General features: G+C 44.5%; 3 non-coding genes and 1 pseudogene across 3 annotated transcripts, besides 6 other annotated features; 1 reads left to right on the top strand and 3 right to left on the bottom strand.

The window, feature by feature from the left end:
• Window positions 68-117: a silencer, noted in NCBI's record as "silent region_5573". NCBI's record gives its function as "represses an Ori minimal core promoter by ATAC-STARR-seq in GM12878 lymphoblastoid cells {active_cell/tissue: GM12878}" and the evidence as "EXISTENCE:reporter gene assay evidence [ECO:0000049][PMID:35858748]".
• On the bottom strand, window positions 72-143 carry TRP-TGG3-2 (tRNA-Pro (anticodon TGG) 3-2). The gene has a single exon. It is a non-coding gene; the product is annotated as a tRNA-Pro (tRNA).
• Window positions 248-377: an enhancer, noted in NCBI's record as "active region_8092". NCBI's record gives its function as "activates an Ori minimal core promoter by ATAC-STARR-seq in GM12878 lymphoblastoid cells {active_cell/tissue: GM12878}" and the evidence as "EXISTENCE:reporter gene assay evidence [ECO:0000049][PMID:35858748]".
• Window positions 518-707: an enhancer, noted in NCBI's record as "active region_8091". NCBI's record gives its function as "activates an Ori minimal core promoter by ATAC-STARR-seq in GM12878 lymphoblastoid cells {active_cell/tissue: GM12878}" and the evidence as "EXISTENCE:reporter gene assay evidence [ECO:0000049][PMID:35858748]".
• Window positions 798-886, bottom strand: TRY-GTA5-5 (tRNA-Tyr (anticodon GTA) 5-5). Its single transcript is given in 2 exon segments — window positions 798-833; window positions 850-886. It is a non-coding gene; the product is annotated as a tRNA-Tyr (tRNA).
• Window positions 908-1217: an enhancer, noted in NCBI's record as "active region_8090". NCBI's record gives its function as "activates an Ori minimal core promoter by ATAC-STARR-seq in GM12878 lymphoblastoid cells {active_cell/tissue: GM12878}" and the evidence as "EXISTENCE:reporter gene assay evidence [ECO:0000049][PMID:35858748]".
• Window positions 1938-1987: an enhancer, noted in NCBI's record as "active region_8089". NCBI's record gives its function as "activates an Ori minimal core promoter by ATAC-STARR-seq in GM12878 lymphoblastoid cells {active_cell/tissue: GM12878}" and the evidence as "EXISTENCE:reporter gene assay evidence [ECO:0000049][PMID:35858748]".
• TRT-TGT5-1 (tRNA-Thr (anticodon TGT) 5-1) lies at window positions 2397-2469 on the bottom strand. Its single transcript has one exon. It is a non-coding gene; the product is annotated as a tRNA-Thr (tRNA).
• Window positions 2638-2897: an enhancer, noted in NCBI's record as "active region_8088". NCBI's record gives its function as "activates an Ori minimal core promoter by ATAC-STARR-seq in GM12878 lymphoblastoid cells {active_cell/tissue: GM12878}" and the evidence as "EXISTENCE:reporter gene assay evidence [ECO:0000049][PMID:35858748]".
• Window positions 7059-7140, top strand: TRL-TAG4-1 (tRNA-Leu (anticodon TAG) 4-1; annotated as a pseudogene).

Raw genomic sequence — 9396 nt, 5'->3', positions numbered from 1 at the left:
TTGTGTTTCAAATTTAACGGAGACTTTTTTTCAGTAGTTGACAAAAGGGGGTGGAAAAACAGTAGCCACGAGGGCTCGTCCGGGATTTGAACCCGGGACCTCTCGCACCCAAAGCGAGAATCATACCCCTAGACCAACGAGCCACTGTAGCTGAGTGGTGCTTCCTATCACTCTGAATTTCTCTTTTCCGCCTGCTGTTCTGAAGGTTTTTTGTTTTGTTTCTTTTCCTCTGTTGTGACATTTCCCTTAGGCCTTATTTAGTTATTCCTTCCATCTTCACCAAGTTTCAAGTGTGGCTTATTCTCTGGCTTATTCTCCTCGATCCAGATGCAGGATGGGGTGAAGGAAGGCAGCTTTTTAGACTTTAGGTCACATGCTTGTGTCTCACTGAGCCCGGGGAGCGATTTAAGCCCGCTAGGGCCTGGAGGGAACCTGGAGGGGGCTGAAATAGAGATCGAGGGCCAGAGCTGAGCTCGGTTGCAAGGCTGTAGGGTACTGAGCCCCAGGACAGACGCGCGATACGTATATATCTGCCGGCCTTTGGACTTAACGTAGAAGCCAAAATATAACACACTTCGGTAAGACAACAGTGCCTTCCCCCAACGGTGGGACGATTCGGGTCTACTATCTTTCAGAAAGGTAACCAACTTTTCAAGACGCGATTAACGCAGCCCACCTCGCGGCTAAGCTGTTTCCTTCGGACAAGGGTGAGAGACAGAAACAGATTTGATCACGTCAAGATACAGAGATTTTTTGCACAAACGAAGAGCAACCGTAAACCCCAAAACAGCAGCGTCTCCTTCGAGCCGGAATCGAACCAGCGACCTAAGGATGACCACACATTAAGTACTACAGTCCTCCGCTCTACCAGCTGAGCTATCGAAGGAAGCACGGAAACAACTCTCCTAAAAATCCCTACTCGAGACATCCTTAACCAGAGACGGGAAAGAAAGAAATCTCTTTATACCCGGAAAGTAATTACTGCAGAGTCACAAAGCCAGCTTGTAAGACAGTCCTGCGTCCGAGGTTCTGAGGACAACCTTTCTAAATCTGGATTCCCCTGCCTCACTGAGGGGCTCCCAAGCAGAGCAGGCGCCCCTGAAACTCGGGCATACCGAGGCTGCTCATCCTCTGGGCGCCCGAGGGCTGTTGGCCTCACTGGGCGCGGACCCAGGGGCCTCGCGAGCGTGGATGCGTGTGTTTGTGTGTAGGGTGGGGACCGGCACCTGGGCGTCGGAGAACTGGGGGCTGAGGCGGTGGGACGCACACAATTCTGACTGCGCAACTGTGAACGCCGGAGAGGGCGGGCCTCCAGGCTTAGGCCCGGGCTCCCTGATGTCCTCACTTCCTGCGCTTCCCTCCCAATCTCGGCTCTTCCGCTTACACGTCCACAGACACGGGAGGGAGAGGGTGTGGAATGGAGCAGTGGTCCCCAACATTTTTGGCACTAGGGACCGGTTTCGTGGAAGACAGTTTTTCCACGGACCGCGGGGGCGGGGGGAAGAGTTGGGGGATGGTTTCGGGATGAAACTGTTCCACCTCAGATCATCAGGCATCACTTAGATTCTCATAAGGAGTGCAGTTTAGATCCCTGGCATGCGCAGTTCCCAATAGGGTTCGCGCTCCTGTGAGATTCTAATGCCACCACTGATCTCACAGGAGGCGGAGCTCAGGCGGTACTGGTAGCTAGCCCGGAGTTCACCTCCTGCTGTACAGCCGGGTCCCTAACAGGCCATGGACAGGTGCGCGGCCCAAGGGTTGGGAACCCCTGAAATAGAGGACATCTGGGCAAACCCAATGTTTCTGTGTGAATTCGCTTTTGGAGATAATATTTGCAGCTCATTCAAAAGGAAGGCCACATTTCTCTGCGTTAAAATCAAATTTAGTGACCCAAGTCTCGCCCCTAAAGTCGGGCCCTTAATTTCCCAAAACCCCACTGGCACATGAAACCTTGCCTCACAACGTGCATCTCTCTTCTGGACGCCTGGCCGGAGCGGCCATTGCTGGCTCTTCCCGTTTCAGAAGTGGAACCTTGATCTCTACTCCAAATATGCCCAGACCCGGGGCTTGAGAATAGCTTAAAGGGCTATTGTCTCGCCTAGCTGTCCCCATTTCCCGCCCGGCAGTCAGCAGGGCTCTCGCCGCCAGTCCGCAAGCCAGGGCGTGGGCAGAGGCTGACGGTGATTTCCACCGCCTGTGTAATGGATTCCGCCGCATTCCAGGAGCTAAAGCAGCATTACTACTGGAACCTAAAGGAAACGTTCTGCTGAGCTAGTGTTTGGAAGCTCTGAACAGAGGAAAGAAGCTCTAATTTGCCACATTTTCTGTGACTTAGTTCAGAAAGACTAGAAGGGGAGTTTTTCAAAAAACACCTGAATCAAGAAAGTAGTTTCGCAAGGCCCCAGCGAGATTTGAACTCGCGACCCCTGGTTTACAAGACCAGTGCTCTAACCCCTGAGCTATAGGGCCTCACGCAGAAACCGCCTCTTCCTTTCACAGAAAAGGAAAAGATTTGCAGGGCTTCTGCCAGCATCTGAGCATAGAAACTAAGTAAAACCTGGATGTCCTTTCAATCCATTTCCCGACTACTAGAATTCGGTTCACAGACTCAGTGTTCTTGCTGGGGATGGTACAAAGTGAAGGCCAGTGAGAGGGACCACTACTATCCTAAGATTGGAGAAATCTGCCCAACGCGACACAGTCTAACACAGAAAGATTCTCCACTCCCTCACTTCAGACTGAAAATTAAGAAGGGAAAACCGGCAGAGGAAGGAGCTCACCACAGGTCTCACTTGAAACTGCTGACATCCGCATTTTGTTTCCTGCTTGACTCAGGACTTCGTACCAGCAACTGTCTGCCTCCAGAGACCTTTCTCACAGCTGCGAGTCTCAGTGCCAGAGCAGGCATTCGTTAATTTGCAGTTTAATTCATTCCTTCATTCAACAAACACTGCATTCCAGTTCTGTACTAGGCTCTGCACTAAGAATTAGGGATCCAGATATGATCTTTATCCTGAAGTCACTGTCACAGTTTTGTGGAACAAAAGAACTTTAGTTTTCATGAAGGAAAACAATGAAAAGTAGCTGTGCCAGGTGTGAAGGGGCGTTGGCCATGCCAAGGTCCACACATTTACAAAGTGAACCATCCGGGGGTGTCTTCAAGAGGGCATTGGCCTGAGCTGCACTATGAAGGGAGGTTAAGACTTAGACAAAAATGGGAGCAGGGTGGTCCCTGGTAGAATAAAATTACGAGCAAAGTCCGAGAGAAAGACTGAGACATTCAAGGGAACACTGGCTGGGGCAGCAGGTGAGAAGATTAGTAGAAGAAAATAGAAATTCACCAAACATTGATGAGTTTGCGGAATTAATTGAAGGGACGAGCAACCAGAGTCAGAAACACCAGTGACTGGCCATGGTGAAGATGCTCAAACATAAAGCTGCAAAAAGGTAATCGTTATGGGACTGGAAAGGAAGGGATGAGTGAGAGCGTTACAGGGCAGGGCGATTCTGCTGAACCTAGGTATGAAGTGAAATCAAGAGGAAAGAGAGGGGACTCTCAAAGGTGTCTTGAAGAGGCAAGATAACACCTGCAGAAAAAAGGAAGCCTACTTCTTCAGCGTATCTGGAGAGGGCGGAGGGGTGACGCTAGGATTTAGGTAAGCTGAATATGAAGTGAAGGTGGAGCAGTTCATGGGAATTGCATGATAGCCAGAATAGTCTCGTGTCTAGAGTTTCATGAATTGATAAATGAATTAATCAAATTACATAAGTCATCCATTGAGTTAGAGACTCTACGAGTTATGCACTCTTGAAGGAAAAGAATACAGAGAAAACAGCTGAGACTAGAACATAAGTTTTGAATAGCCCTGTTATAGGCATATGTTATGTTAGTGTGTGTCCAACATCTTTTAAAAATTCTCCTTACATGTGGATATTTCACATATTATAAGTAAGTCTGTCCTAGAACACTTGCTTTCCCAGCTTACAGCTGAGAATGGGCATGTGACCTGGGCTCCACCAATCAGATGCATCGCCCAGGAAGCTTTCCATTTAGAAACATAAAACAGGAGTACAGGATACCATAAGGAAAACCCATGTTTTTCCAAATATGGTATCAGTGTCAAGTTTTTGGGTATGGGTTTTCTTAAATCCATATACTGCTGTCTTTCTTTAGTTCTGGAAAACTCTCAGTCATTGTGTTAGTTTGCTAGGGCTTCCATAATAAAATACCACAGACTGGGTGACTTAAACAACTGAAATTCATTTTCTCACAGTCCTGGAGGTCAAAAATCCAAGACCAAGGTGTTGGCAGGTTTGGTTCCTTCTGAGGCCTCTCTCCTTCACTTAGAGATGGCTGGCCTCTTGCTGCCGCCTCACATAGCTGTCCTTCTGTGGGTCCACACCCTTAGCTCCTCTCTTTGTGTCTAAATTTACTCCCCTTACAGGGACACCAGGTTGGATTAGGGCCCACCTTAATGGCCTCATTTTAACTTAATCATCTCTTTAAACGCCCTATCTCCAAATACAGTTACATTCTGGGATACTAGGGATTAGGGCTTCAACATATAAATTTGGGGGAGATACATTTTAACTAATAGTAGCCATTATCTTCTCCTATTTTTTTATATATTTTTTTAATTTTTTTTTTTAGGCTAGTCAAGTGAAGCAGTGGGAGTGGAGAAGGAACAAAGAGACCTGTAACTGCTTGTGATCAATTAGTTGTAAACACCACTGCACTCAGACCAGCCAGCCTCCTATATTGTTTTTACTCTATTTTTTTCTCTCTTTTTGGAACTGAAATTAAACATCTATTAGAGCTTCCTACCTTGTTTTCCATTTATTTTAACCTCTCTTCCATATACATATACATATATATACACATATATATACATATATATACACACATATATACACATATATATACATATATACACACATATATACATATATATACACACATATATATACATATATATATATTTGGTCTTTTTTTCTATGTTGCATTCTGGATAACATTTTCTTACCTTTAATACTAATCAGTAATTCTCTCTATAGCTCTGTTTAATCAGCTGTTAGATATGCCCATTAAGTCATTTATTTTGGTTAAAATGTAATTTCCCATTCTAGAAGTTCTAGTTGATTGTTTTTCAAAACTACTAGGCCGAATTTTTTTATTTCCTGTTTTTTGCAGATATTTTCCAGCTTGTTTCTTATTTCCTTAAGCACAGTAATTACAGTTGTTTTAATATATATAACTGATAATCCTAATATCTGAATTTTATGCCGTTGTTTTGTCAACTCATGTTGTTTTGTTTTCTTGTAAAACTTGGTCATCTTTGAATGTGTACTGCTCAGTGTCTTTGCAAAATTACATGCAGTGAGTTTTTGAGGACAAGATGAAGGTTATCTTCTTTTAAAAATATATATATGACTTTTTTTTCTCCCAGGCACTTGGCACTCTATCAGCCCAAGAAGATCCTAAACAAAGTTAATGGCCAGGCATTCTCTGGATCTCCAAGATACGTAAACCCAAGGTGCAAATCAGAATGCTGACCTGTGGTCCCAGCTTCTCAGAAAAACTCCTCACACTTTCTATTTTCCTTTGCTAAGCTCAATTTTTTTCTGCTGAGCTCCACAACAATTACTAGAAGTAGGAGAACAGACATAGGTGTACTTCTTATTTGCCCTTACCTTAGGGGAATAGATCTTTGGAGTCCCAACTTAATATTGGGAGGGTGTCTTACTAGTCTTCCTACCTCTGGTGGGTGCTGTGTCTTGATGTCTGATCCTCTTGTTTCTCCCACCCAAACAGGCTACCAAAATTATATAGCCCAGCATTTCAGGAATTAACAAATGACTTTTTTTTTTTTTTTTTTGAGATACAGTCTCACTCTGTTGCCCAGGCTGAAGTGCAGTGGTGCAATCTCAGCTCACTGCAACCTCCACCTCCCAGATTCAAGCAATTCTCCTGCCTCAGCCTCCCGAGTAGCTGGGATTACAAGTGCGTGCCACTACACCCGGCTGATTTTTGTATTTTTAGTAGAGACGGGGTTTCACCATGTTGGCCAGGCTGGTCTCAAACTCCTGACCTCACGTGATCCAACCCGCCTGGACCTCCCAAAGTTCTGGGATTACAGGAGTGAGCCACCGCGCCTGGCCTATCACAAATGCCTTTAGGGCTACAAAGGTCAATGCAGAGATAACTTACCTTAACTCTCTGAATTCCACCTTTCCCTTGGTTTCTGGCCTATTAGTTGCTTACTACCATATCAGCACTTTAATGCTTCTAAGGAGATTTGATAAAAGTATTTATTTATCACTTTGGGAGGCCGAGGCGGGCGGATCAAGAGGTCCGAAGATCCAGACGATCCTGGCTAACACGGTGAAACCCCGTCTCTACTAAAAAATACAAAAACTTAGCCAGGCGTGGTGGCGGGGGCGTGTAGTCCCAGCTACTCGGGAGGCTGAGGCAGGAGAATGGCGTGAACCCGGGAGGCGGAGCTTGCAGTGAGCCGAGATTGCGCCACTGCACTCCAGCCTGGGCGACAGAGCGAGACTCCGTCTCAAAAAAAAAACAACAACAAAAAAACTATTTATTTATTTTATTTATTTCTGTTTAGAGATGGGATTTCACCATGCCGCCCAGGCTAGTCTTGAACTGGACTCAAGTAGTCCTCCTGCCTCGGCTTCCCAACGTGCTGGGATAACAGGCGTGAGCTACTGCACCCAGCTGAGATTTGGTAAAAATCTTATGCAATATTTTTAATAATTTTTATTTCAAGAAGGATTGGTCTAAATTAATTAGCCTGCCAATACTAGAAAGGAAATGGCAGTTGTGGGAGCTATAACATCAATCATAGTCCACCACACGGACTGAGAAGCAGAGAAAACAGTACTCCAGAGAAAGCTTAAGGGGGAGAATGCCAAAGCACAAAATGAAAGAGCGGTGACGGCTGGAATAGGAACCTGCTCTTTCTAGTTATATCATCCTTTCCAGAAGACATCACTGGAAAAGGACAAGATGGTTTGGTGGTGCCGCCAATTAGTCTTAGCAGTTTGGTAGTGTGGTTGAATGGTCTAAGGCACTGAATTTAGGCTCCAGTCTCTTTGGGGACGTGGGTTTAAATCCCACTGCTGCAAGGGTCTTTTGTTCCTACATCAGTAATAATTATTCAGTGTGTCTTCACTAGGGGATTGACCTAATGTCAAACCCAACATGTGATTTTTCTCACTGCCTAGCACTGGGCTGGGGGAATGGAGGCACTGAATGAATGACTCACAGCCTACCTGCAGGGAGCTCTTAATTCAATTGAACACCCAGACCACTAAGAGATGTACTCCCAGCTTCTGTTTGAAAGGGAGCTGGTAAGACCTTGCCAAATAAATGACATTTGAGCTGGAATCTTGAAATAATTTTGAAGGTGCAGTATGTGTTCTGTGAAAGGGAAGGATAAGGTAGGGTAGAGAATAGAGGGGAGCAGGGAGTGAGGTGAGCCTTTGTTTCATTTGCTCCTAAGTGTTAACCAGAAGAAATCTGAGCAGTTGCACACAGAATGTAAAATATCCCTACGTCCCTGCTGCTGACTGCCTCTGGGAACACCCTGCGTTTCCTACAGGATGTTGTCTCTGGTTTCTTTACCTACTGGTGATCTCCTGCTACAACCCCTTCCCTCACCCACCATTTTTCCTTCAGTGTCTGTCCCTCTAGGTCTGTCACTAGGACAGTAAAAAAGATGGGTTAAGCAGGACACAAATCACCAAGGGAGGCAACTAGTCACCAGCTCAGGGAGGTGATATTTCAGAAGATTCAATGCTCAGGCTTGAGCCAACCACAGAAGACCACCCTCGCTGCCACCTAGACCACAAAAAGTCCAAATATGAGTTTGAAGTCAGAATTTGAGCTCTTTAAGGAGCAACCTTACTTTCTAGCCTTTGAGTGCAGTGCCCTTCCTGCCCCATGTGATACCTTTGGTACCCAGGAGGAGCACTGGGCAGGATTTGGGGTCTATCACATCCAAGTTTGAATCCAGGCATTGTCCCTACCTCAAGGCTTTGGGAAGGAGGCGACAGCTCATGTTAGCAGGTGGTGATGGAATCTGACTGGCCGGTGCCTTAAGTAGGCAAGTGATAAGTTTATCCATGTGGCTCTTTACTGTAGTCATCCCTGCTGTAGAGGGCTGTCCTGGGTATTGCAGGATGCTTAGCGGAACCCCTGGCCTTTCCTCACTACATGTCAGTAGTAATATGCCCTCCCTACCCAGCTGTGACATCAAAATTGTCTCTAGCCACTGCCAAAAGTCCCCTAGGAGGCCAAGCCATCTCTGGAGATGACTATCTCCCAGTGTGTAGCTTGTCTCTTACAGTGTCTTTACCAAGGCAGAGGTTTCTTAATTTTAATGAAGTTCATTTAATTGTGTTTTTCTTTTGTGAGTCATACTTTCAGTGTTGTATCTAAGAAAACTTTCCCCAGCACAAGTTGACAAAGATTTTATTATAAAAATTTTAAAGTTGTGGGTTTTATTGGTAGGTCTGTGATCTACTTGAGGTTCATTTTTATATGTAGAGCAATGTAGGGATCAAGAATCTTTTCTTAATTAGCCGGGCATGGTGGCACGCAACAGTAGTCCCAGCTACTTGGGAGGCTGAGGCAGGAGAATCGCTTGAACCCAGGAGGGGGAAGTTGCAGTGAACCAAGATTACACCACTGCACTTTAGCCTGGGCAACAGAGTGAGACTCCGTCTCAAAAAAAAAAAATTTGTTGTTGTGATTTTTCTAAAGTTTGCTGAGAAAACTACCTTTCTCCACTGAATTGCCCTTGAAGCTTTGGCAACAGTCAATTAACAATATGTATGTGGTTTTATCTCCGTACTCCTGATCTATTGTTCTGTTGTTTTAAATTTCTTAATGCCAGTATGACACTGTCTTAATTATAGCAGTTTTATAATAAATACAATAAAATATAAATAAGTCGGGCAGAGTGAGTCTTCCAACTTTGCTTTTTCCAAAGATGTTTTGGGCATGCTGTCTTTGAATTTGCAAATGAATTTTGGAATTAGCATGTCAATTTCTTTAAAAAAAAAAAAACCCTGTTGGGATTTTTATTGTAATTAGATTAAATCTATAAATAAATTTAGGGATAACAAATATCTTAACAATATTGAGTCTGTTCATGCACAAATATGAAATGTCTCTTGATGTATTTAGGTTTCCTTTCATTTCTCTTAGCATTTTTTTCAGTGTACAAGTCTTGGACATATTTTATTCCTAAGTATTTTATATTTAATTACTCTGTTGTAAATTGTACTGCTTTTTAAAATGTCAATTTTCACTATTACTAGTACACACAATTATACATATGTATATACAATTTATAAAATAATTATGCCAAGCCTGGC

Source organism: Homo sapiens, chromosome 14 (assembly GCF_000001405.40).
Source record: "Homo sapiens chromosome 14, GRCh38.p14 Primary Assembly".
NCBI classification, from domain to species: domain Eukaryota; kingdom Metazoa; phylum Chordata; class Mammalia; order Primates; family Hominidae; genus Homo; species Homo sapiens.
Note: the sequence above shows the minus strand (reverse complement) of the source record. Positions and strands in the feature narration are given on the sequence as shown.